Below are 25,876 nucleotides of genomic sequence, written 5' to 3'. Positions count from 1 at the left end.
TATATGCAAATTATATATATAAATTGTAAAGTTGGCCGGGTGCGGTGGCTCAAGCCCATAATCCCAGCACTTTGGGAGGCCGAGGCGGACAGATCACGAGGTCAGGAGTTTGAGACCAGCCTGACCAACATGGTGAAACCCCGTCTCTACAAAAAATACAAAAATTAGCCAGGCGTGGTGGCGGGCACCTGTAATCCCACACACATACACAAACATATATATACACACACCATGGAATACTATGATTCCATAAAAAAGAATGAAATAATGTCTTTTGCAGCAACGTGGAAGGAAATGGAGGCCATTATCTTAAGCAAAATTACTGAAAAACAGAAAGTCTGCATTTGTACCTCCTCAATATATAAAAATGAAAAAATAAAAAATAAAATTAGAAAAAAGATTTTATATCACCATATATAGAAATATATATTTTATATATCATTTATGCAAAATATATTATATATCATATATATGCATACTTATGTACACATACATATACACAAATATATAACATATTTAATTCAGTATATATAATATATGGAATGGCTATATATACATTATATATACACACATACATACACAAACACACACATACAGTATACATGCTTAAAGAGTGTTCAGCTCCCTTCAGAGATTGTATGATTTTTTTTTTTTTAGTTAGGATCTCACTCTGTTGCCCAGGCTGGAGGGCAGTGGTGCAGTCATAGCTCACTGCAGCCTTGACCTCCTGGGCTCAAGGCATCCTCGTGCCTTTGCCTCTGTGCTGGGATTATAAGTGTGCACCACCACACGTGGCTAGTTTAAAAAATTATTTTTGGTAGAGATGGGGGGGTGGGTTCCAATGTTGCCCAGGCTGGTCTCGAACCCCCATGCCTCCCAAAGTGCTGAGATCACAGGTGTGAGTCTCTGTGCTAAGCCAGATGGTACAATTTTGATTCTTCTCATATTTAACAACACCTGCACCTATCATTGTATTGAATTTATAGCTCATTCTGGTTTAGGGTCAGGGACTTATTCCTTCCGAATGGCAGAGTTCAGCAATTCCTGACTCCACCGCAAATTAATGCCACTTCATTAAGGCGGTAATGACCCTTCCATGCCTAACTCACAGGGATTTTCCTTTTTTGTCTCTCAAGTAATAGGCTGTGGTTTCTCAAGGATTTTTATGATCCTTCCAGATGAAAGCTGTTTTGTCAAGCAAGGTGTTGTGAAACGTGCAGGGTCTATTTATAAGAAGAGGTAGCTATGCGGTCAAGTTCAGGGTGGGTTCGGTGGAATCAGACCAACCAGCAGCTCAAGCAGAGTTTAACGCTGCAAATCTGTGCCACGTTCTTCTTCCTGCGTGCAATTTGCAGGCAAGGACATCTGCTTAATTGGGTGTGAAACCCGGGCCTTGATTAAAAGGACTTTATGAGGCCGCAGCCTTGCATTTCCAAGGTCAGGCCCTAGTGGAGAGGGCGCGCGTTCCGCGGGGAGACACGAACTTTTCCTGAGTGCGCGTTCCTTGCTGGCCCTGAACCCCTCGGCCAGGCAGGGCTTGGCAGGGCCGTTTCCTGTCCTAACCAGGATCAAGGGATTGCGCGGCTTGCTGGTGAAGCTTGGCAGGGCCGTGACCTGTCCTAACCAGGCTCAGGGGATGGCAGGGGCCTGCTGGTGTCGCATATGTTTTGCATTCCAGCTCAGGATTTTGCAGAGCATAGGGAGCGGGTGTCACCCCCGGGGGGAAATGCCACCCACAAAATGCAGGTGGAGGCTGGGCGAGGCTGGCAGCCAGGGGCCAGAAATCCAAAGCCTGAGCCAGGTTCAGACTTCCTGACTCCCCCTCCCCGTTAGCTGTGGAAGGATGGCTCGGCCTGGTCCCCCTAAAAATGTGTCCGTTCTGACTTAGAGGCCGCTTTGGCTCTCGGAAAGCCCCCCTGACCTGCGGACTGAGGGACTGGAGACCCCCTCCAATCGCAGAATCGCTGAGATCCCTCAAAACAAAGGCGTTTGCAGTTTGACCCCTTGCTGCTCAAACTGTGGTCGGCGAACCGGCAGCCTGGGCCGCCCTGGTCGCGGGTCAGGGGCGCAGCGTCCAGGCCGTGCCAGGCCCGCAAGTTAAGCACTGTCTGCATTTCCCTGGGGAAAGGGGTGACCAAATATCTAGCTATATTTGCATTTCAAATCCACACGGATATGGGTTTTAAATATAAGTATGTCCAACTATTGCCTGAGCCACACTTAAGCCAGGAAAAAAAAATCTTTGGGGTTTCTGAAATTGAAATGCCTCTGCACAATTCTTTATAGGGTTGTCGCCGGGGTGTTTGAAACAGTGACCAATCAAGTTTCACGCACTACATTTGGTCGGGCGATCTCTCAAATCTGTCTTTCCCTAGTTTTTTAAAGGAATGTTTATTTGTAAAGAATTCTAGATCCACAGGAAGCTGCAAAGAAACGCACAGGGTCGAGCCCGCCCTTCCCCGCCCCTTCCAAGTAGAAATCTAGAATCACCAGAGTCCTACAGCAAAACCAGGACGCTGAACTCATCCCGAAGACCCGGCAGCCCCTCTTGGGGATCCGCCCTCATTCCAAATTCTCTCAGGTCCCAAACAAGCACCCGCAGGAGTACTGAACTTTTTGGGGGGAGGGCAGAGGGGATCTGTATGCAGATTGCCAGCTGAGCAATCCTATTTTCTATGACTTAAAGCCAATCAGAGGCTGGGCGTGGTGGCTTATACCTGTAGTCCCAGCACTTTGGGAGAACGAGGCAGGCGGTTCACTTGTGCTCAGGAGTTCCAGACCAGCCTGGCCAACATGGTGAAACCCTGTCTCTACTGAGAAAATACAAAAATTAGCCGGGCTAATCCGAGCCCCTCTCTTCACCAAACGCCAGTTTCACTTTTTAGTTTTGAACTTCACTTCTGCTGAGCTACGCCCTCCCTGTCCCCGGGCCCCCTCGCCTCCCCATCTTCCGGGCTTGGGTGCAGCGACGCGGGTGGCCCGCCAGTGCGTCCCCGAGGAGAAGTCAGCCTGGGTCCCACCCCAGGGGTGCCCCGGGCGCGGAGGGGGCGTGGGCACCTCCCCAGCGCCGCACGCCCGGGTCTCCGGCTCCTGGGCTGGGTCGGGGCGGGGGCGGAGCGCGCGCGAAGGCGACGCCCCCAGCCCCGCGGCCGGGTTAGGGCGGGGAGAGGCGCGGTCACGCCCAGGCGGCTTCCGCCCGCCCCAACAGCGCGCACGCGGCTACCGAGCTGGAGGAGGCGGCGGGCGCGAGACCCGGAATGCGCAGGGCCCCCGCCTCGCCCCCCCCAGCCCGGGCCGCGGCCCCCGCCTTCCCCGCAGTCGTCCCGCACTCGGTGCCCGCCCCCCGAGGCCGGCGGCTGCTCCCACTCGGGGCCGTTGCTGCTTGTGCCGTGAGCGCCGCCCAGCCATTGTCCCCGTCGCTCCGTCAGCCGCGCCGGACCGCGCACCAGGAGGCGAGAGCGCGCATGGGGAGCCTCTGTTGATGCCGCCGCCGCGCCGCCCTCCGAGGCTGCGTCCCGGGAAGCCCGGCTCCCCGAGCGCTCCGGCCTGGCCCGGTGCCCCGGACCTGAGTGCGTCCCCATGGAGGCGCCCGGGCTGGCCCAGGCGGCCGCGGCGGAGAGCGACTCCCGCAAGGTGGCGGAGGAGACCCCCGACGGGGCGCCCGCGCTCTGCCCCAGCCCTGAGGCGCTGTCGCCGGAGCCGCCTGTGTACAGCCTGCAGGACTTTGACACGCTGGCCACCGTGGGTGAGTGAGTGCGGGCGGGGACTCGGCCCACAGGGGCGCGCGGCGTGGCCGGGACGTTGTAGTAGGACAAAGGGCCCTGGGTGCCGACCTCCTGGGGAGGGCCCTGACCCGCTACTTCGGCTCGGAGTCCCCGTGCGGGGCTGCACCTGCGCCCCGGGTCTTCCCGGGTGGAGCGCACTCCCCAGCCCCCCAGCCCAGGCAAGTACCCCCGACCGGCCGGGTGCCTAACCTGAAATGCCGACGGCTCCTCTCGGAGACCACCCTCCACCCCCAGCACACACAGCACTCTGGGGCCTGGGCCGTCCGACGTCACAAAACCTCCTGCGGGTCACCTCGCCTGGGGGACCTCGTGCTCCCTCCCTGGCAGCGGCCCCAGGGACACTGGCGCGGGGTGCGAAGACCCCTGCAGGCCTCCCCTAGGCCAGCCTCCCTGTGTGCCCAGAGGCAGGGAATGTACAGATTTCTCCAGGGGCTGCAGGAGCAGCTGGGCTGTGGGGGACAGGTGTCCCGGGGCGCTGTGGGGACGAGGACGGCAGCGCTGGGGACGGATCCTAACATGTCCTGACACCGCCTGTGCTCTTCGTCTTGTGCCTCTGAAATGGGTAATTCTTGTATCGGACGCTTTATCCGTTTCCTTTGTCCTCTGTCTTTGAACTTAACCCCGAATGGGCAGCTTGACAGAGAGGTTTCGAGTTCTCGGTGCTCTTGCATCCGGACACGCGCTGCTTTATGGAGCAGCCCTGAGTGGGTCAGAATATCCCAACTGAACGTGGGCGCTGGATTTAAACAGTTGTCATCGGCCCGCCTGTGCCACTTAGGGACTCCGTATGGCTAAGTGGGGTGTTGGCTGTCAAGAAAATAAATGGGAGAGTAGAGGGGGCTGTCCTGGGTGTGTTGGTGAGGCGTCGGCTCTCAGGCCCTCTAACTCCTGTTTGTCCTCATTTTGGAAAGGAGGAAGCTGGGCTGGGAAGCCCAAGGGCTCGAGGCCATAGCTTATGACTTAGGAAGACCAGCGGGCATAGCCAGTGGGGCCTTTAGAACCGCTGAGGAAGAGGGGACTTAGCTTCCTTCAGTGACCTCTTTGCCACTTAGACCTTGAGGAAGGGCCCACGAGGAAAGCCTGAATTTGGAAGGACAGAGTGGGAGGAGGCCCTCTCTCTTTCTCCTCTCCCTCCCTCCTCCTCTTTATCTCATTCTCTCTCTCTTTTCTCTGTTTCTCTTCTCTCTCCCTCTTTCTGTCTCTGTTCAAGTCTCTCTGCATTTCTCCTCCTCTGTCTCTTGGTGTCTCTCTCCCTGTCCCCTTCCGGTCTTGGTTTTTCTGTCTCCCTCCCTCCTCTCTCTCTGCCTTCCCCCTTGTCTTGGTCCCCCCGGAAAGCTGTCCTGGTCTAATCTTAGAGCTGGGTGTGTTTTGCGCGGAAGAAGGGTGGGGCAGGAACCCTGACTGGCGCAGCCGCCACAGTAGGTGGAAATACAACTCGACAATGGAAAATTGATGAGGTCCAGCCGTTCCTTGGCACTCAGCACCAGCGTTTGTCATTCTTTGGGGCACCCACATGGGTCCCTTGGGAAAGGTGGAGCTGGGGCTGGAGGCCGGGGCAGAGAGCAGGATGCGGGCAGGAGGGCGGCAGAGGTGAGGGGTTCTGGTGTCACAGGGGGCCACTCAGTTTGACGTCAAGTCAGCTTAGGGTGCCCAGCGGGTAACCTCATCTTTAAAAATAGAGTGTCGCTGCCTCTGGGGACCAAGCTGGCTGGGCGGGGAGTCAGCTTTTTTTTTCAGTCCAGTCAGTGCTCTCTTAATGAGGATGAGGATGATGCTCCTTTCTCAAGGATAACTTCCTGTGAGCTCCAACGATGTGACAGGAGGGCTAGGTATCCCACACTCATTGGACAGCAGGGGACCAGGACCCAGGGGTGTGTGTGTGTATGTTTGCATGCACGTCTGGAACACTCTCTCATGACAACTGCACAGCTTTGGTGACATTATCTGCAACCTTTTATCCAAGCCCGTTTCTTTATTGTTGGTTAAAGAGCAATCTGAGTGTGATTCACCTAAAATAATACATTTTATAAAATCCTAAGCCTTTTAGATCCTTCACGATTGTGTCTCTAAGCCACAATCTACAGCAGCTTTGGACTGTTTTCCAAGGCGTGATGGAGAATAGTGAGGGGTGAGCTTGAGTCTCAGTCTGGAGTTGAAACCCAGTCTGGGTGGGTGTGACCTCTCTTCATCCTAAACTGTCACTACAGGAACATAAGTTTGCTTTTAAGTGCTCTTTCGCCCTCATTCCGAATTCTCTCAGGCCCCAAACAAGCACCCGCAGGAGTACTGAACTTTTTGGGGGGTGGGCAGAGGGGATCTGTATGCAGATTGCCAGCTGAGCAATCCTATTTTCTATGACTTAAAGCCAATCACAGGCTGGGCGTGGTGGCTCATACCTGTAGTCCCAGCACTTTGGGAGGCCGAGGCAGGCGGATCACTTGTGCTCAGGAGTTCCAGACCAGCCTGGCCAACATGGTGAAACCCTGTCTCTACTGAGAAAATACAAAAATTAGCCGGGCGTGGTGGCGGGCGCCTGTAATCCCAGCTTCTCAGGAGGCTGAGGCAGAGGAATTGCTTGCACCCAGGAGGCAGAGGTTGCAGTAAGCCAAGATCACACCACTGCGCTCCAGCCTGGGCGACAGAGAGAAAAAGAAACTTGTCAGCGTTCTAGATTGACCAGTTTTCCTCAAGGTCAGGTAGTTAGGAAGAAAGAGTGCAGTTTGCAGTTGTGAAAAGTCTGATAATGGATTCTTTTTTTCTTTTTTATGCGTGAAGGGATTCTGGAGTACGTCTGGTCTAAAGGCCGATTTCGTTTTAGGAACTTTGGATCAGAACAGTCATACTAGTCCTCAGAGAAAAAATGGTTTTCAATCTGGTTCTTCAAATTTCTTGTTCATATAACCAAGCCATGCTTGTTCCTATGATGGAGAACAATTGTGCTTTAAAAAAAGAAATTTCAGGGCCAGGTACAGTGGTGCGTGCCTGTAGTCCCAGCTATTTGGGAGGTCGCGGTGGGAGGATGACTTGAGGCCGGGAGTTCCAGACCAGCCTGGGCAATATAGTGAGACCCTCATCTCTTAAAAAAAATAGTAGTAATAGTTAGCTGGGCATGGTGGCGCATACCTGAGTTACCTGGGAAGCTGAGGCAAGAGGATCACTTGAGCCCAGGAGGTCAAGGCTGCAGTCAACCACAATCGCGCCACCGTACTCCAGCCTGGGTGATAGAGCGAGATCCTCTCTATAAAAAATAAAATAAGAAAATGATATTATGGAAATGAAAAACTCACCCTATGTAGAGAGAAGAGGATGAATCTGTGCAGCCATCTACCAGCCTTATTTTACCAATTTCCTACTTAAAATGACCACTTGAGAATTCCTTTCTCTATATATCAGATAAAAAATACTTGGGTTTTTTCCCAGAAGTGTCCTTATGGAATCATTTGGCATCTACAACCCAGTGCTTGCTTGTCATGGGTACCCCAAGTGTTAACCTGTCAGGAAGGAGGTAATTCAACAGGTAAACCAGTGGCCAGGCCTTGGGTCCACATTTCATTTTCCTTTTCTCAGCCTAGTTCTGCATTTACTCATCTACAGAGGGAAATAATGACGGAACCTGTCCTACACGATGACGATGAGGAAGACTCCAAAGTTCCTAGACCCCTATTAAAAATATATATTTTTTGAAATACAGACTCACAGGGGATTTCAAAAACAGTACCTGGAGTCTCATGGACCCTTCAGCCAACTTCCCCATGGTGACGTCTTCATATCCGTGGGACAATATCAGAACCATGTCATCGATGTTGGTATATCCTTATTAAAGAGAACACATACCTCGTTCAGCTTTTTTTTTTTTTTTTTTTTGAGACAGGGTCTCACTCTGTTGCCCAGTCTGGAGTGCAGTGGTGCGATCTCGGCTCACTCCAGCCTTGAACTCCTGGGCTCAAGCAATCCTCCTGCCTTGGCCTCCCAAAGTGCTGGGACTATATACAGGCATGAGCCATCGTGCCCGGCTTGTTCAGGCTTTATTAGTTTTCAAAAGGTGCTCATTTGTGTTTGCGAGTGTGTGTGTAGAGTTCTGTGCAGTTTTACCCAGTGTGTGGATTTGGCAGCTACCACCCTCCAAACCATGGTGCAGGATGAATTCCCTCACCACAGAACACCCCTCGGTCTTGCTCGACACTTTTTTTTTTTTTTTGAGACAGAGTTTCACTCTTGTTGCCCAGCCTGGAGTGTATTGACCACAACCTCTGCTTCCCGGGTTCAAGCGATTCTCCTGCCTCAGCCTCCCGAGGAGCTGGGATTACAGGCATGTGCCACCATGCCTGGCTAATTTTATATTTTTAGTAGAGATGGGGTTTCTCCATGTTGATTAGGCTGGTCTCAAACTCCTGACCTCAGGCGATCCGCCCGCCTTGGCCTCCCAAAGAGGTGGGATTGCAGGTGTGAGCCACCGTGCCTGGCCAGACACTTTTTTTTTTTTTAAACTTTCACACACTATACAATCTGAAAATATTTTATTTTCTTAAGAGCTAGGAGATCTTCATAATTAATGATACATGGTTCTCAGATCTAAAGTGCTTATACTGGTAGGTTTTCTCTTGTCCTTGGTTCTCCTGAATTGGCCAGAATTTCCTTTCCTCTCCTTGTTGCTGGGTTCTTATTAATGCCTCAAGTTAGTCGGTTCAGGCAGTTGTAGCAAAACACCACCGACTGGGTGGCTTATAAACCACAGACATTTATTCACAGTTCAGAGGCTGGAGGTCCAAGATGAAGGCATGGCAGATTTGGTGTCTGGTGGGGACCTGCTTCCTGGTTCATAGATGGTGCCTTCTCGCTGTGTCCTCACATGGTGGAAGGGGTGAGGGAGCTCTCTGGGGCCCCTTTATAAGGGCAGTGATCCCATTCATGAGGCTCCAACCTCACGACCTCATCACCTCCCTAGGGCCTCACCTCCTGACACCATTACCTTGCAGGTGAGGATTTCAACACAGGAATTTTAGGGGGACACAGACATTGAGTCCACGGCATCCCCACCCTGTCTGTCACACAGCATGCTGCCGGGACGAATGGCATCTGAACTGGTGAGATTCTACTGTGTGCATAAATCAGCAGCCTTGTGGGCAGTGTTGACATAGCAATTAGGAGTGTTGTTTGTAGCCTAACAATACACAGAAAGTGGAGCTCAGCCCTTTGATCTTATTTACCTTATGTGGGTGCTCCGTGTGAGACAGGCTCATGCATGTGTGAATGACAGTTTCCTTTAAGTGCATCACGCAAATGCCAAGAGATGAGATCAAATATTACACATCAGAGAACATTTCCAAGGATAGAAGTCCTGCCGGTTTCTCCTCTTCATTGTTTATTTCATTTTATTTTTTTAATTTAAGTTAAAATACATGTTAAATTAAATTTAAGTTAAATTAAGATACATGTGCAGGACTTATTTTAAATAAAAGAGACAGGGTCTCGCTGTGTTGCCCAGGCTAGACTTGAACCCCTGGGCTCAAGCATTCTGCCTGCCTCCGCTGCTGGCACATAAATGCCAAGTGTGCAGGGACCTCTGTGTGTTGGAGCCACTTTCATCTCCCACATCCAAAGAACAGACCCGGCACTTAGTGTGTGCCCAAGACCATCCACCGCATGAATAGAGAAATCAACCCTCCTCATGTGCCTGGGGTTTCCTGAGGTGGGAAACCTTCAGTGCTAGCTGGGAGAGTCGCAGGCAGAGACAGGGACAAGCTGGTCACTCTGTGTGTGAATAAATAAATGAATGGATGATGGCATTATCGGCAGTTGTTCTTTATGACACTCACTGATGCCAAGTACTGGACGGGTACAATATGTACATTAGTTTCTCTATGGGCAGAAGCTCCACCATGACAACATTAGTGTTATTTTCTTTTTGCTTTTTTGTTTAGAGACAGGGTCTTACTCTGTCGCCCAGGCTGGGGTGCCGTGGTGCAATCAACAGCTCACTGCAGCCTCGACCTCCCAGGCTCAAGCAATCTTCCCACCTCAGTCTCCCAAGTAGCTGGGACTGCAGACGTGCACCACCACACTCAGCTAATTTATGTATTTATTTTTGTAGAGATGGGCATTGCTATGTTGCCCAGGCTGGTCTCGAGCTCCTGGGCTCAAGTGATCCTCCCGCCTCAGCCTCCCACGTAGCTGGGACTACAGGTGCATCCACCATGCTTGTAGCCTTATTTTCTTAATGGGAAAGAGGGTCTGAGAGAAGGGATGCTGTGTGCCCAATGGGTTTCGCCTGCAGCACGCTGCCTCCTCCCCGGGAAAGCAGGGCGTGCACATTGGGATTGGACGACAAAAGCAGAGTCATCTACAGTTCATGGGCACGCTGCAAAGAAGGGAGACGTTAAACTCTCGAAAGCAGCAGACACCCCCCACCAGGAAGAGACATACTTGTAAAAATCAAAGGAGGGCGAAGGCATGAGAATCGCTTGAGCCCAGGAGGTTGAGGTTGCAGTGGGCTGAGATCGTGCTACTGCATTCCAGCCTGGGTGACAGAGACCTTGTCTCAAAAAATAAAAATTCAAGGGAGGCCAGGTGTGGAGGCTCACGCCTGTACCCAGCACTTTGGGACTCTGAGGTGGGAGGATCACTTGAGCCCAAGAGCTCAAGATCTGTCTGGACAATATAGCACTACCCCATCGCTACAAAAAAAAATTTTTTTAAGTAGCTGGGTGTGATGGAATGCACCTGTAGTCCCAGCTACTAGGGAGGCTGAGGCAGGAGGATTGCTTGAGCCCAGGAGGTGGAGACTGCACTGAGCCATGATGGTGCCACTGTGTTCCAGCCTGGGCAACAGAGCAAGACCCTATGTCAAAAATAAAGAAAGTATCAAGGGAGATGAGTACACAGTGCCTGGCACACTGTAGGGTCTCCAAAAAGTAAACCTTTTCTATCCATCAGTTTCCTCTTCTCTCCAGCATGAAATCGCATATGTAAAGTTGAAAAAAAGAGTGAGAGATATATCTTAAAAAGGTAGTAATGTTGATGACATTGTGGTTTTTTTTTTTTTTTTAAAGAAAAACCGGCCGGGTGCGGTGGCTCATGCCTGTAATCCCAGCACTTTGGGAGGCTGAGGCAGGCGGGTCATGAAGTGTCAGGAGATCGAGACCATCCTGGCTAACACGGTGAAACCCCGTCTCTACTAAAAATACAAAAAAAAATTAGCCGGGTGTGGTGGCGGGCGCCTGTTAGTCCCAGCTGCTGGGGAGGCTGAGGCAGCGGAATGGCATGAACCCGGGAGGTGGAGCTTGCAGTGAGCCGAGATCACACCACTGCACTCCAGCCTGGGCGACAGAGCAAGACTCTGTCTCAAAAAAAAAAAAAGAAAAGAAAAACCTTGGGGGAAATACAGAGGAAGCCCTAAGGCATCCCTTCCAAAAAGCTGAAAGTGCTTTACTTAGAATTGTGACCTCGTTTTCCCTGTTAGAAAAGTCTGTGGTTAGAAGCTTCCTGGTAAGCCCAGTGTGAGAAGGTGGAACCGATGTTTCTGTGTGACGGGTTCCCTCTGCCTGTTTCTCCAGGTGGCCTCCCCGTGGTCCTCTACTGTGGTGGGTCCAGTCCCAAAACCAAGTCTGGGGCCACCATCATCATATTTGTGTCCCCCACCCCAAGATTCTTATGTCAAAACCCTAATCCCCAAGGTAATGGTGTTAGGAGGTGGGGCTTTTAGGAGGTGATGGGGTCACTAGGGTGGGGTCTCATGAATGGGATCAATGTCCTTATAAAAGGGACCCCAGAGAGCTCCCTCACCCCTTCCACTATATGAGGACACAGTGAGATGGCACCGTCTGTTAATTAGAAAGCCGGTCCCCACCAAACTCTGAATCTCCCATACCTTCATCTTGGACTTGTAGCCTCCAGGACTGACAGCGGTAAATGTCTGTTGTTTCTAAGCCCCAGTCTGCCGTGTTTTGTGATGGCAGCCGAAATGGATTTAGATGGGGCTCTATTCACCCCACGCGGCAGGGTCCATGGAAAGGCAGCTGCAATGCGCTGGTCTATCATTACCTCTTTTATGCTCTTTCACACTGTCTTAGTCTTGCGTGGCTGCTGGAATGAAGGACCGCAAATATAGTAGCTTAAAACCACATACAGTGAAGAGATACCTGCACTCCCAGGTTCACTGCAGCACGAGTCACACAACAGCCAAGATAGGGCAACAACCCACTTGCCCGTCAGCAGATGACTGGGTGAAGAAAATGTGGTCTCTACACAATGGAGTACTATTCAGCCTGTAAAAAGAATAAAGTCCTGTCATTTGCAACAATGTGGATGCAACTGGAGGTCATTATGCTCTGAGAAATGAGCCAGGCACAGAGAGACAAATACGGCATTATCTCACTCCTTTTTTTTTTGGACAGGGTCTCACTCGGACACCCAGGCTGGAGTGCAGTGACGTGGTGTCACTGCAGCATTGACGTCCCAGGCTCAAGGGATCCTCTCACCTCAGCCTCCTGAGGAGCTGGGACTGCAGGTGTGCATCACCACGCCAGGCTATTGTTTTGATTTTTTTTTGGTAGAGATAGTCTCGTCATGTTGCCCAGGCTGGTCTTGAACTCTTGGCCTCGAGTGATCCTCCCAGTTTAGCCTCCCAAAGTGCTGGGATTACAGGCGTGAGCCACCACGCCCTGCCTGACCTATGTACTTTAGAATCCCAGAAGCAAATCTTGTATCCTACTGGAGGAGCAAGACAGAAACACAGGTGCTAGAGGGCAGATTGTTTGCACAGAAACCTGGGCATGTGGATGAATTTGGTAATACGTGTGTGCGGGTAAACTTGGCAGGCCCCTTTTTTTCCAGGGTTCCCTTGTGCAAGAAGAATGAAACTAATGCAACCAATACTTTCAAGAAGCTCCTCCTTTCTGGAGCGTTTTCACGCTGCATTTCTTGGGTGGGCATGTTTTCCCGGCGTCTCCGATTCTGTGCTGTGTTGGGTGAGACAGGATGATGGACATTTTGCTTCCCCATTAGGATCTTAAGTGAAAGTCCAGTTGGCATTTGCATTTGATCTGAGTAGGAGAAAACATGATAAATAGCCATTAGAGGCCGGGTGTGGGGGCTCACACCTGTAATTCCAGCAATTTGGGGGCCGAGGTGGGCAGATCACTTGAGATCAGGAGTTCGAAACCAGCCTTGCCAACATGACAAAACCCCGTTTGTACCCAAAAATACAAAAATTAGCTGGGCACCGTAGTGGGTGCCTGTCATCCCAGCTACTCAGGAGGCTGAGGCAGGAGAATCACTTGAACCCGGGAGATAGAGGTTGCAGTGAGCCGAGTCTGTGCCACTGCACTCCAACCTGGGGTGATAGAGTGAGACTCCATCTCAAAAAAAAAAAAAAAAAAACAACCAAAAAAACCCAAAAACACATTAGATGCATTTGAAGCCTCCCAGCAATTCTCCCATGATGGCAGAATAGGCATCCAGGAGACTCACCCTACCCTGTCTGAACACCTTTAGCGAAGATGTAAATGATTTGCAGAGGAGACTCAGGTGCGAGGATGGAAATTCCTTCCCCCTCCAGCACTGATGGCTTCCACCTTCCTGTGGTCTAAGGAGACCACACAGAGGTTATCAGTGTGGGAGGCTGTTGCCAGTATGGTGAGTTTCCTATGGAGGAATTTCCTGTGGGACACCTCTGGGCAGTTCTTCCAGCCTTTCATGTCTTCTGTCAGATGATACAGTGGCCAGGTCAAGGGATTATCATGATTTTATTTGTTTTGTTTTTTAGAGACAAGGTGTTGCTCTGTCGCCCAGGCTGGAGTGCAGTAGGGGTGCAATCAATAGCTCAGCTGCAGCCTCAAACTACAGGGCTCAAGTGATCCTCCTGCCTCAGTCTCCCAAGTAGCTGGGACTACAGGGACACACCACCATGCCCAGCTCATTCTCTCATAAGGTGGAGAGAAGAGAAGAGAGGAGGACATAAAACTGTCCATATGACTAGTTTGGGCCTTTCCATCCTGCTTAATCCAGAACTGTCAAGGTTAGACCCTGGTCATTCTTTAATATGTTTGAAAAATACGGCTGGGCTTTGGCTCACACGTGTAATCCCAGCACTTTGGAAGGCCAGGGTGAGAGGATCACTTGAGTCCAGACGTTTGAGACCAGCCTGGGCAACATAAGAAGACCCCACTGCTACAAAGGGGGAAAACAAGTCAGCCACGCATGGGGACGCATGCCTGTGGTCCCAGCTATTCGGGGGGCTGAGACGGGAGGATTGCTTGAGCTCGGGAGGTAGAGGCTTCAGTGAGCTGCGATTGTGCTACTGCACTCTAGCTTGTGTGACAGAGTGAGACCCTGCCTCAATTAAAAAAAAAAAAAAGAAAAATAGACCTTCCTTCTATACAATGTCTTCCCTGCTGGCCTCCATGCCCTCGTACCTGTTTAAAAATCCACTGGAATTTTTCACCAGGACATAGAAAAAGGAAGTTGTCTCACGCAGTTCCTGTTAAATTGCACAAGTCCACACAGATCCTTGCAACCCACGCTACCATTTACTTAGCATGCGTTGTGTGTGGGCATTACATTATTCTCCGAGGTAGTTATTTTGGATGTTATACTGGGGAGGTACCCCATCAAAGAGATTTGGAGGGCAGCCTGTGGAGGGTTCTTTTAAAATCGTTGACAACTAATTTGGTGGATGTTTTCACCTTGGTGAATCATTCCCTTGGGAGTCATTTTGCAGAACAAAAGGGTTGCACACAGGTGTGGCCAGAGAAACCTTGGCACAGAAGAAAGAAGTGCTTTGTCATGCTTAGGGCACCTGGGATCTCTTTGGATGGGCAGGCAGAGGGGGACCCTGTGAAGCCTGCCTGCGTTTATTTGGGTATGCATGCTTATGTTGGAGTCTTGGCAATGAGAGGACAAGAGTGGAGGGAACAGAGCTGTTAACAGAAAGGGGTCCATATCCAGACACCAAGAGAGGGTTCTTGGATCTTGTGCAAGAAAAAATTCAAGGCAAATCCATAGAGTAAAGTGAAAGCAAGTTTATTGAGAAAGTAGAGGAATAAAAGAATGGCTCCTCCATAGACAGAGTGGCTTCGAGGGCTGCTGGTTGCCCATTTTTATGGCTATTTCTTGATTATATGGTAAACGAAAGGTGAATTATTCGTGCCTCCCCTTTTTAGACCAAATAGGGTAACTTCCTGACGTTGCCGTGGCATTTGTAAACTGTCATGGCGCTGATGGGAGTGTAGCAGTGAGGACAACCAGAGGTCACTCTTGTCACCATCTTGGTTTGGGTGGGATTTGGCCAGCTTCTTTACCGCAACCTGTTTTATCAGCAAGCTCCTTATGACCGGCATCTTGTGCTGACCTCCTATCTCATCCCGTGACTTAGAATGCCTTAACCATCTGGGCATGCAGCCCAACAGGCTTCAGCTTCATTTTACCCAGCTCCTCTTCAAGATGGAGTTGCTCTGGTTCAGATGCCGCTGACAGAACTAGCTTATGGTTGGAGACAATGTCATAGGGAATTATTCTTCAAAGATCGCAAAATCCAGCTTGGATGAGATTCCAAAAATCAAAAGGTGCTGAGAAAGCAACTTGTCTAGAATTTCCTCTTCATGGGCTGGTTGATTTTGTTTACAATGACACCTTCAGAAAAAGTAGGCGACACACAGTGGCTCACGCCTATAATCCTAGTGCTTTGGGAGGTCAAGGAGGGAGAATCATTTGAGGCTAGCAGTTCTAGACTAGCCTGGACAACATAGTGAGACCTTGTCTTTACAAAAAATAAAATCAGCCGTGTGTGGTGGCGCATACCTATAATCCCAGCTGTTCAGGAGGCTGAGGCAGGAGGATCATTTGAGCCCAGGAGTTGGAGGCTGCAGTGAGCTATGATGGCGCCACTGCACTCCAGCCTTAGTGACAGAGCAACATTCTGAAAGAAAAGAAAGAAAAGGAAAAAAAGAAAAGGAAATAAAAGATGAAGAAAGAAAACAGAAGAAAAAAATAATTTATATAGAAAAAAAGTCCATAATGACTCAAAATATTCCCTGGACACTGGAATAGAATGATTTTGTTTATTAAAGCTTTTCTTTAGTTCGTCCTTAAACAGTTTAGTATTTTCTTTTGAAAACAGATTGTGTCTTGTCAACTTCATTGATTTTCGGGCTGGGCTTGGTGGCTGAACACCTGTAATCCCCCAACACTTTGGGAGGTTGAGGTGGGTGGAGCGCTTGAGGCCAGGGGTTCGAGACTAGCCTCTAGCCTCGGCAACATGGTGAAAACCTGTCTCTACAAACAACAACAACAACAACAACAAACAATTAGCTGGGCGTGGTGGCACGTGCCTGTAGTCCCAGCAACTTGGGAGGCCGAGGTGGGAGGATCACTTGAGCCCAAGAGGTCGAGGTCGAAGTGAGCTATGATTGCACCATTGTACTCCAGCCTGGGTGACAGAGTGAGACCATGAAAGAAAAGAAAGAAAAGAAAAAAGAGAAAGAAGAAGGAAAAAAAAAGAGAAGAAAAAAGTAAAAGAAAAACATAGAAAAAAAATCAGTAACGACTCAAAATATTCCCTGGATAGTTGAATACAAATAGTTGTTGTTGGACGTGATTTTATGTATTAAGGCTTTTGTTTAGTTTATCCTTAAATAGGTTAGGATTTTATTTTGAGAATAGATTCTGGTTTATCAATTTCATCAGTCTTTGCAAAGAAACAGCTTAGGGTTTCCTTTATGTTTCTCCGTTAACTTCCTGTTTTCAGTTACATTGCGTTTTGCTCTGGTTTTTCTTTCGTTTTTTCCACTCGTTTTAGGTTTCTGGAATTTCCTGAAACATTGTATTTTGATACAGATTCTGAGCTGGTGCTTTGGCTGTCACAAGCCAGAGGGTCCTAGAAGAAGTAGAATTGTAACCGAGGAAAACTGTTAGGAAACTCCATCCCTTTTGACCTTCAAAGGTCACCGCCTAATTTTGGTTTTTTGTAGTCTGATGTGTTCATAGCTTGTGACTATTAGGCTCTGATTGAGCTCTGCTTTTTTTTAAGTTTCTCTTACTCAGCTGGTGCTGTTTTAGCTCCAGCTTCCTCCTCTGTGTAATCAACACTCCCAGTCTCCTCTTCACCCAAAAAGCCACAGAAATAAGTGCAGAAAACAAGGCAGCCGCCACCTGCTACAGAGGCATGTCCTTAAATACGATGCATTTCAGGACAGCTGTGTGAGTTCCGGGAGCTTGTCTTCCTTCAAAGGGAAAAGTAAAAATAAACAGGAAGGTTGCACTGAAAGCATTCTCAATTGAAATTGTGCCATTTGGCTGTAGTGTTTCTGATGCTCATTTAGAACTTTGGAAGTTGTGGGATGGTGGGCAAGTGTGTGACCTGGGATGGAGATTCTCTACCTCTTTAAGAGTGAAACCCTGGCTGGGCGCCGTGGCTCACTCCTGTCATCCCAGCACTTTGGGAGGCCAAGGCGGGTGGATCACCTGAGGTCAGGAGTTTGAGACCATCCTGGCCATAATGGTGAAACCCCGTCTCTACTAAAAATACAAAAAAATAGCTGGGCGTGGTGGCAGGTGCTTGTAATCCCAGCTACTTGGGAGGCTGACGTGAGAGAATCACTTGAACCCGGCAGGCGGTGGTTGCAGTGAGCTGAGATTGTGCCACTGCACTCCAGCCTGGGTGACAGAGTGAGACTCCACCTCAAAAAAAGAAAAGAAAAAGAAAAACTTTAAAAAATGCCGGGCACGGTGGCTCCCGCCTGTAATCCCAGCACTTTGGGAGGCTGAGGTGGGTGGATTGCCTGAGCTTAGGAGTTTGAGACCAGCCTGGGCAACATGGTGAAACCCCGTCTCTCCTAAAATGCAAAAAATTAGCCGGGCGTAGTGGTGCACGCCTGTAGTCCCAGCTGCTTGGGAAGCTGAGGCAGGAGAATTGCTTGAACCTGGGAGGCAGAGATTGCAGTGAACCGAGATGGTGCCGCTGTACTCCAGCCTGGGCGACAGAGTGACACTCTGTCTCAAAAAAAAAAATAAAATAAAAATTAGCTGGGCGTGGTGGCACACATCTGTGACAGAGCGAGACTCCATCTCAAAAAAAAAAAAAAAAGAATTTTGGAAGTTGTGGGATGGTGGGCGAGTGTGTGGTCTGGGATAGATTCTCCACCTCTCTAAAAGTGAAAACCTGGTTGGGTGGGGTGGCTCACATCTGTAATCCCAGCACTTTGGGAAGCTGAGGTGGGCGGATCACTTGAAGTCAGGAGTTTGAGACCAGCCTGGCCAACATGGTGAAACTCTGTCTCTACCAAAACTACAAAAATTAGCCGGGTGTGTGGTGGCGGGCATCTGTAATCCCAGCTACTCGGGAGGCTGAGACACGAAAATCGCTTCAACCCGGAAGGCGGAGGTTGCAGTGAGCCGAGATCACACCACTGTGTATGCCACTGCACTCCAGCCTGAGCGGCAGTGAGACCCTGTCTCAAAAAATACACACACACACAAAAACAAAAAACAAAACACATGTAGAAAAAACCACAAAGACAAAAACAAAACAACAACAACAACAACAAAAAGTGAAAACCTACTTCTTTTTCTGGACACGGTGGCTCATGCCTGTAATTGCACCATTTTGGGAGGCCGAGGTGGGAGGATCACTCTCACCTTTCAAGGCCCAGGAGTTCGAGACCAGCCTGGGCAACACAGCAAAACCCCATCTCTCTAAAAATAAAAAAGAGAAAAAGAGAAAAATTGCTTCTTTCTATGTAGTTGGTGAGTTTTTTCAGTAGGATGCTTTGCATTTCTTCCTGCGTCTGTGGCTCTGTGGTATGCCAGCATATACGATAGTCACTACAAGATCCGTAGTTGTACACCCAGCCATACGCATCACAGGTTTTTGGCTGATTTCATGACAACGCTTAAGGCTGCTGAAAACACTCTAATTCTTTGGATGTTGGCAAATGTTCAGATGAAACTAAGCGGCTGGCCCACCCACCTGCTCAGGAAAGAATGGCCGCATTGTGTGGGAAAGGAATCCTCTGTTCCCTAGCTGGCTGCCTGGTGTTCTTGTTGAGTGAGCAGAACAGAGAGTGCCCCTGGGTAGACCTGTGTGTGCTCCAAAAGGCGATTTTGTCAATTGTTCCCTTGGGATGCCCTTGTTCCAGAAAGCATGTTCTGTGTGACTCTCAGCTGGGGTTCCCAGACTGTGTAAAGAAAACATGGTGATTCATGGCTGTGTGCGGTTGCCCATGCCTGTCATCCCAGCATTTTGCGCGGCCGAGGCGGGAGGACTGCTTGAGCCTGGGAGGTCAACGCCAGCCTAGGCGACACAGTAAGAACCTGTCTCTACAAAAACAAAAACAAAAAAGTGTAGCCGGGCATGGCGACGAGCACCTGTGGTCCCAGCTACTCAGGAGGCTGACGCAGGACGATCGCCTGAGCCTGGAAGTTGGAACTGCAGTGAGCCATAATCACACCACTCTACTCCAGCCTGGGTGACAGAGTGAGACCGCATCTTAAAAAAAAAAGAAAAAAAAAAGGACATTGTGATTAATGAAAACAAACATTGCCTGGTGATAAGGAAAGTAAGAAGTAGGATTGTTCTCAGATTAGTGACCCAGGAGATAAAGGAGTAACAGAGTGTGCAGGAAGCAGGTCTCCAATTTAATAGCAGGATGGTGAAGATAGAGCAAGTGACTTCTTTCTATTTTTTTTAGAAACTGGGTGTTGCTTTGTCACCCAGGCTGGAGTGCAGTGGCGTAATCATAGCTGACTGCAGCCTTCACCTCCTGGGCTCAAGCAGTCCTCGTGCCGCGCCTTCCCGAGTAGCTGAGACTACAGGCACATACCACCATACTTGGTTAATTTTTTGTATTTTTAGTAGACATGGGGGTGTGGGGATGGTTTGCCGTATTATCCAAGCTGGTCTCAGACTTCTGGCCTCAAATAATCCTCCTGCCTCGGCCTCCCAAAGTGTTGGGATTACAGGCATGAGCCACTGTGCCTGGTGAGTAGGTAGCTTTTTGTTTGTTTGTCTGTTTGTTTGTTCTGTTTGTTTGTTTTTGAGACAGTCTTGCTCTGTCGCCCAGGCTGGAGTGCAGTGATGCAATCTTGGCTCACCCCAACCTCCACCTCCCGGGTTCAAGTGATTCTCGTGCCTCAGCCTCTCAAGTAGGTGGGATTACAGGCACATGCCACCATGCTTGGCTATTTTTTGTTTTTTTAGTAGGGACAGAGTTTTGCCTTGTTGGCCAGGCTGGTCTCAAACTCCTGACCTCAAGTGATCCGCCTCCCTCGGCCTCCCGAAGAGCTGGGATTACAGTTGTGAGCCACCGCGTCCAGCCAAACAAAAAAAAGTCTGTCTTATAAAGAAGATCCCTAATTTATGATGATTCCATTTATGATGGTTTGAGTTATGGTAGTTTGAGTTAGGATAGTTCGATTGAAGATTTTTTGATTTTACGATGGTGAGAAAGACACAGTCCGTGGAACCCGCGCTTCGAGTACCCATGCAACTGTTCTGTTTTTAACTTGCAGTGCAGTATTCAGTAAATTACATGAGGCATTCAATACTTGATTGTAAACTAGGCTTCACGTTAGGTGATTTTGCCCAGTTGTAGGCTAATGTAAATGTTGCGAGCACGTTTAGGGCAGGCTGGGCTAAGCTGTGATGTTCGTAAGTTAGGTGTATTCGATGCATTTTTGACTTACCATATTTTCAACTTACAAAGGGTTTATGGGGTGTAATGTCATCATTGTAAGTTGAGGAGTGTCTGTATCATAGACTGGGGGGCTTAAACAGACATTTATTGCTCCCAGTTCTGGAGGCTGGGAGTCACAGATCAAGGCGTGGCACATTCGGTGTCTGGTGAGGGCTTCCTGGTTCATAGACGGCGCCTTCTCACTGTGTCCTCACATGGTGGAAAGGGTGAGGGAGCTCTCTAGGGTCCCTTTAATAAGGACATTGATCCCATTCATGAGGCTCCACCCTCATGACCTCAACACCTCCCAAAGGCCCCACCTGCTAACATCATCACCTTGGGGATGAGGATTCAACACGGGAATTTTGGGAGGATGCAAGCTTTCACCAGTAGGGTTTTCTTTGTAAAGAAATAGAAGGAAATGAAAAGGCAGGCACTGGGTAGGAGAGAGCTACAGAAGACAGCGGGGTGGTGGCACTCCAGGATAGTGCTGTCCCCCAGCATCATTTACACCGAAGAAACCTGAGGCACTCTTTCTGATGTGTCATTCTTAGGAAAACCACCATGAATCTGGCATCTAGCTATCAGTGAAACTGTGGGAGAGCTTAATGGAAGTAAAGACATGTGGTCCCAGAAATGACAGATCATTCGGAGAACCTAAGAGAAGATTAAAAGCAAAAGGGGGTCATGTGCGCTGTGACTCAAACTTTGGGAGGTCGAGTGGGAAGATTGCTTGAGCCCAGAAGTTTGAGACCAGCCTGGGCAACATAGGGAGACCCTATCTCTACAAAAAATACAAAAATTAGCTGAGTGTGGTGGCACACACCTTAGTCCCAGCTACTCAGGAGGCTGAGGTGGGAGGATTGCTTGAGCCTGGGAGTTCAAGGCTGCACTGAGCTAAGATTGCGCCACTGCACTCCAGCCTGGGCGACAGAACAAGATCCTGTCTCAAAAACAAAAACAAAAGCAAAACAAAACAAGAAAATCCAAAAGGGAAATATAAGAGAAAACAAAAAATCTCACTTTGAGACATCTTTTTTGAAGAGTTGGAGAGGATATTGTCTCCATCCACAAAAATAGGATGTTACAATAAAAGAGAAAGAGGAAGGAAGAGCTTTATATGGGACTGCTGAAAGTTAAAAGAAAAACATTGCATTAAATAAATTAGAAGGGTGATCTCATCTGTGCCTGTGACTTCAGTTATCATCTTAAGGCTTTGGGTCTCAAAGCACACATCTAGTTTAGACCTTTCTTAGGAGCCCTGAAGGGTGCATTGCCAACTACTGCCCGTTGGAGGGTCCATTTTTCCCAAGATATCCAGCAACACTCTTATATGAGTGTCCTGCTCCATTGTCTCAAATTACCATAAACTGGGGAACGCAAGCAACAGAAATTTATGCTCTCCCAGGCCTGGACACCAGGAGTCTGAAATCAAAGTGCAGGCAGGATTGTGCTCCCTCTGGAGGCTCTGGGGGAGGAAGCTTCCTGCCTCTCCCGGCTCCTGGGGGCTCCAGGCATCCCTGGGCTTGTGGCCACAGCACTCCAGTCTCTGCCTCTGTCTCCACGTGGCCTTCTCATCTGTGCCTGTGTCTCCTCTTCTGTCTCTTAGAAGTACACTGGTCATTGGATTTAGGGCCCACCCTTTTCCAGCGCGATCTCATCTCAAGATCCCTAGCTTAATCACGTTTGCAAAGTTCCTTATTTCCAAATAAGTTCCCATTCCAGGTTCTGGACATGAGGATGTGAATATATCTTTGTGGGGACCACAGTTCAGTCTACTAGAGTTGTATGCAGTTCCTTCTGGAGGCTCTAGGGGAGGATCCTTTCTGCATCTCCCAGCTCCTGGGGGCTCCAGGCATCCCTGGGCTTGTGGCTATATCACTCCAGTCTGCCTCCGTCTCCATGTGGCCTTCTCCTCTGTGTCTGTGTCTCCTCATCTGGCTCTTTATTTTTTTAAATAATTTATTTATTTATTTATTTTTTATTTTTTTTGGTGATGGAGTTTCGCTCTTTTGCCCAGGCTGGAGTGCAGTGGCATCATCTCGGCTCACTGTAACCTCTGCCTCCCGGGTTCAAATGATTCTCCTGCCTCAGCCTCCTCAGTAGCTGGGATTATAGGCACCCGACACCACGCCTGGCTTATTTTTTATATTTTTAGTGGAGACGGGATTTCACCATGTTGGCCAGGCTGGTCTCGAACTCCTGTCCTCAGGTGATCCACCCGCCTTGGCCTCCCAAAGTGCTGGGATTACAGGTGTGAGCCACCATGCTCACTGGCCATTTTTTATTATTACTCTTTTTTCCTCTTCTGTCTCTTAGAAGGACACCCGTTGTTGGATTTAGGTCCCACCCTAAATCCAGGATGGCCTTATCTGGAGATTGTTTACTTAATAGAAACTACAAAGACCCTATTTTCTTTTCTTTTTTTTTTTTTTTTTTTTGAGACGGAGTCTCCCTCTGTTGTCCAGGCTGGAGTGCAGTGGCGCAATCTCGGCTCACTGCAAGCTCCACCTCCCGGGTTCACGCCATTCTCCTGCCTCAGCCTCCCAAGTAGCTGGGACTACAGGCACCCGCCACCACACCCGGCTAATTTTTTTTTGTATTTTTAGTAGAGACGCGGTTTCACCTCGTTAGCCAGGATGGTCTCTATCTCCTGACCTCGTGATCCGTCCGCCTCAGCCTCCCAAAGTGCTGGGATTACAGGCGTGAGCCACCGCGCCCGGCCTCAAAAACCCTATTTTCAAATAAGACGCCATTCACAGGCACCAGGGGTTAGGATGTAGACATATTTTTGGGGGGCACCATTCAACCTAGTCTATCCCTCAATCTCAATACATCCCCTGGGTTAAACATGAAATGTGTCCCCTTCTTCCCCCAAATCAAAGCAACCCAAAAGACCCCTGTGCACCTGCACACCTTGCCTAAGTCGGCAGCACTCACTGCGTAGATGCCCAAACCCTAAGCTGTGATCATCTCCACCCTCCCTCTTGCAGCCTAATTGAGCCCATTCTCTGCCCAAGCACCTTATGAACAGGACTTTAACCCTCCATCTCCACCACCTTCCCATTTTCACTGGAAATTTTACTTCTTAAAGAGGCCTTCCCTGACCCCTTGACCAAGGTTAGATGCATCCCAATGTTCTCCTATGGATATGTTGTTTGAAGTCCTCAAGTCTGAACAAACTCATGTGAGGTCACCCAAGTTGTTAGACTTACTGTCATTAATGCTTCCTGCCCTCCTTCCAGCCCGACTGGAACTAAACAAAACTAAATGAGGGACCAACCTTGTGTTGTTCATTGCAGTTTCTCGGAGGTAGACAGCACCTGAGACCCAGGAAAATATCAATCATGATGGAAGTGATGCATTCATTTATTATATTGACTCCTTTTTTTTCCCAAAAGCTATTTTGTGTTCAAAACCTGGACTGCATAAACCACTTCATTGTGGTTATGGAGTGTTAGAAGCCGACACCTAATCAAAGAATTCAGTGTGTCTCAGTGGTAGGAACTCTAAAGCCATCTAACATTAAATGCAATAAAAGTTCAGTTGCTTACGACCTGGCGCCGTGGCTCACGCCTGTAATCCCAGCACTTTGGGAGGCTGAGGCGGGTGGACCACGAGGTCAGGAGATTGAGACCATCCTGGCTAACGTGGTGAAACTCTGTCTCTACTAGAAATACAAAAAATTAGCCAGGCGTGGTGGTGGGTGCCTGTAGTCCCAGCTACTCAGGAGGCTGAGGCAGGAGAATGGCGTGAACCTGGGAGACGGAGCTTGCAGTGAGCTGAGATCGCGCCACTGCACTCCAGCCTGGGTGACAGAGCGAGACTCCGTCTCAAAAAAAAAAAAAAAAAAGTTCAGTTGCTTACTCTCCATAGCCTCAATTCAAATCCTCAGTAGCCACTTGTGAGCTTGTGGCTACCATTTTGGACAGTGCAGATAGAGAACATTCCTATCATTGCAGGCGATACTACGGGCAGTGCTTGCTCCAAAACAGGGGGTCTCAACTGGGGGCCGGCCTTCCCCCACAGGGCACTTGACAGTGTCTGGGGACAGTTGTGGTTGTCACTACTGGGGGTGGATGCTGATGGCGTGTGGTGAGTGGAGCCCAGGGACGCCACTCTGCAGGTTTGCAGTGCACAGGATGGCCCTACAGAGAATCATCCAGCCTCAAATGTCGGCAGTGCTAGGCTGAGAGAACCTGCTTTAGCGTGAGAGTCAGTCTCTCTCTTTCTGTCTCTCTCTCTCTCTCCCCCTCTCTCCCCTCCCCACTCTCGCTCTCCCTCCCTCCCCCCTCCACCCATCCCATCTGTTATCTACCTACCTACCTACCTATCAATTATCTAACCATCCTAATTATCTATGTATCACCTATCTATCCTATCTGTTACCTATCTACCTACCCACCTACCCATCCATCCATCCATCCAATCAATTAATCAGTGTATCATCTTTCTCTTTCCATGTATGTATCATACCCATTGTCCATCCATCCATCCATCCATCCAGTCAGTCATTCAATCAATCAATCATCTTTCTATCTATCCATCTATCTGTCTATCATACCCATCTACCTATCTTTCTATCTGTCTGTGGCAGAGATTCTCTGCCAATGGCAATTCAGCTCCATCAGGGAGATACTTCTTCCCTGGACAAGTCTGGAGACATTTTTGTTGTCACAGCTCAGGGAGGTGCTACTGATAACAGGTGGGTGGAGTCCAGGGTCACTGCTTGCCACCTTACAGTGCACAGGATGGCCCCACCACAGAGAATCATCCAGCTCCAAATGTTAATGGACTCAGTTTGAGAAGCTGATCTCAAGGGTAATTCGGGGGAGTCCTGCGGGATTGTTGCATCCTATTGAAGGGGGAATTAATGAATTTTATAAGTGTAATGGTCGAAAAATTGTTATTTTTCTTGAAGGTAGAATGTAATGTAGCCCACTCCCCCGGGGCGGGGGGACTGGGTTAAGAGAGAATACTAACTGCTTATCCCTCCTCTATGCCCAGAGAGGCTTATCTGTGTTCCATCGTTTTACATTCCTTGAGGCACGGCGAGTTCTTGCTTCCCTCCCTAGTGCAGCTGTAAAGTCACAAGGTTGACAAGCAATTGCTGCAAAAGTATGTATTCCCAAGAATGTAAGACGTACGGTGTAACAAATGCAAAAGAGTAATTAACTGCCTTTGTTCTCGCTTCTGCAAGTACGCTTTCTGCAGCACGTAACTCCCGCCACAAACTGCTTAAAAGGTGATTGATCCCTCTGTACGGGGCTCAGACTTTCTAGACCCTAGTCCGACTGAGCTGGTGATCACCTTAATAATTATAATTATAATGGTCATCTCCTAACTGTGCTCGGTCTCTACCGTCTCTGATTTATCCCGCAACACTATCGTGGAGGTAGGCTAGGATGTATCTTTAACCTGGCT

At 49.2% G+C, this 25,876-nt stretch overlaps 1 protein-coding gene across 1 annotated transcript in view, besides 10 other annotated features; it reads left to right on the top strand.

Annotated features, from left to right (window-relative positions):
* Positions 1,272 to 1,919: an enhancer, noted in NCBI's record as "H3K4me1 hESC enhancer chrX:3632955-3633602 (GRCh37/hg19 assembly coordinates)". NCBI's record gives its function as "activates a minimal SCP1, AML or CMV promoter by ChIP-STARR-seq in naive H9 embryonic stem cells {active_cell/tissue: H9 hESC(naive)}" and the evidence as "EXISTENCE:reporter gene assay evidence [ECO:0000049][PMID:30033119]".
* Positions 2,881 to 3,610: a silencer, noted in NCBI's record as "silent region_20642". NCBI's record gives its function as "represses an Ori minimal core promoter by ATAC-STARR-seq in GM12878 lymphoblastoid cells {active_cell/tissue: GM12878}" and the evidence as "EXISTENCE:reporter gene assay evidence [ECO:0000049][PMID:35858748]".
* Positions 3,184 to 25,876, top strand: part of PRKX (protein kinase cAMP-dependent X-linked catalytic subunit) — a 109,310-nt gene continuing 86,617 nt past the window's right edge. Inside the window, exon 1 of the mRNA NM_005044.5 lies at positions 3,184 to 3,745. Within this exon, the coding sequence (NP_005035.1) occupies positions 3,580 to 3,745 (166 nt within the window). The 5' untranslated portion in view covers positions 3,184 to 3,579. The remainder of the gene's footprint in view (positions 3,746 to 25,876) is intronic.
* Positions 3,631 to 3,760: a silencer, noted in NCBI's record as "silent region_20641". NCBI's record gives its function as "represses an Ori minimal core promoter by ATAC-STARR-seq in GM12878 lymphoblastoid cells {active_cell/tissue: GM12878}" and the evidence as "EXISTENCE:reporter gene assay evidence [ECO:0000049][PMID:35858748]".
* Positions 3,801 to 4,080: a silencer, noted in NCBI's record as "silent region_20640". NCBI's record gives its function as "represses an Ori minimal core promoter by ATAC-STARR-seq in GM12878 lymphoblastoid cells {active_cell/tissue: GM12878}" and the evidence as "EXISTENCE:reporter gene assay evidence [ECO:0000049][PMID:35858748]".
* Positions 4,251 to 4,560: an enhancer, noted in NCBI's record as "active region_29376". NCBI's record gives its function as "activates an Ori minimal core promoter by ATAC-STARR-seq in GM12878 lymphoblastoid cells {active_cell/tissue: GM12878}" and the evidence as "EXISTENCE:reporter gene assay evidence [ECO:0000049][PMID:35858748]".
* Positions 4,961 to 5,090: an enhancer, noted in NCBI's record as "active region_29375". NCBI's record gives its function as "activates an Ori minimal core promoter by ATAC-STARR-seq in GM12878 lymphoblastoid cells {active_cell/tissue: GM12878}" and the evidence as "EXISTENCE:reporter gene assay evidence [ECO:0000049][PMID:35858748]".
* Positions 5,316 to 5,837: an enhancer, noted in NCBI's record as "H3K4me1 hESC enhancer chrX:3629037-3629558 (GRCh37/hg19 assembly coordinates)". NCBI's record gives its function as "activates a minimal SCP1, AML or CMV promoter by ChIP-STARR-seq in naive H9 embryonic stem cells {active_cell/tissue: H9 hESC(naive)}" and the evidence as "EXISTENCE:reporter gene assay evidence [ECO:0000049][PMID:30033119]".
* Positions 14,250 to 14,851: an enhancer, noted in NCBI's record as "OCT4-NANOG-H3K4me1 hESC enhancer chrX:3620023-3620624 (GRCh37/hg19 assembly coordinates)". NCBI's record gives its function as "activates a minimal SCP1, AML or CMV promoter by ChIP-STARR-seq in naive H9 embryonic stem cells {active_cell/tissue: H9 hESC(naive)}" and the evidence as "EXISTENCE:reporter gene assay evidence [ECO:0000049][PMID:30033119]".
* Positions 16,686 to 16,755: an enhancer, noted in NCBI's record as "active region_29374". NCBI's record gives its function as "activates an Ori minimal core promoter by ATAC-STARR-seq in GM12878 lymphoblastoid cells {active_cell/tissue: GM12878}" and the evidence as "EXISTENCE:reporter gene assay evidence [ECO:0000049][PMID:35858748]".
* Positions 20,931 to 21,225: a silencer, noted in NCBI's record as "tiled region #13686; HepG2 Repressive non-DNase unmatched - State 24:Quies". NCBI's record gives its function as "represses a minimal TATA promoter and a strong SV40 promoter by Sharpr-MPRA in HepG2 cells {active_cell/tissue: HepG2}" and the evidence as "EXISTENCE:reporter gene assay evidence [ECO:0000049][PMID:27701403]".

This window comes from Homo sapiens, chromosome X (genome assembly GCF_000001405.40).
Source record: "Homo sapiens chromosome X, GRCh38.p14 Primary Assembly".
Lineage (NCBI taxonomy): Eukaryota > Metazoa > Chordata > Mammalia > Primates > Hominidae > Homo > Homo sapiens.
The sequence above is the reverse complement of the archived record's forward strand: the minus strand, read 5'-3'. Positions and strand labels throughout refer to the sequence as shown.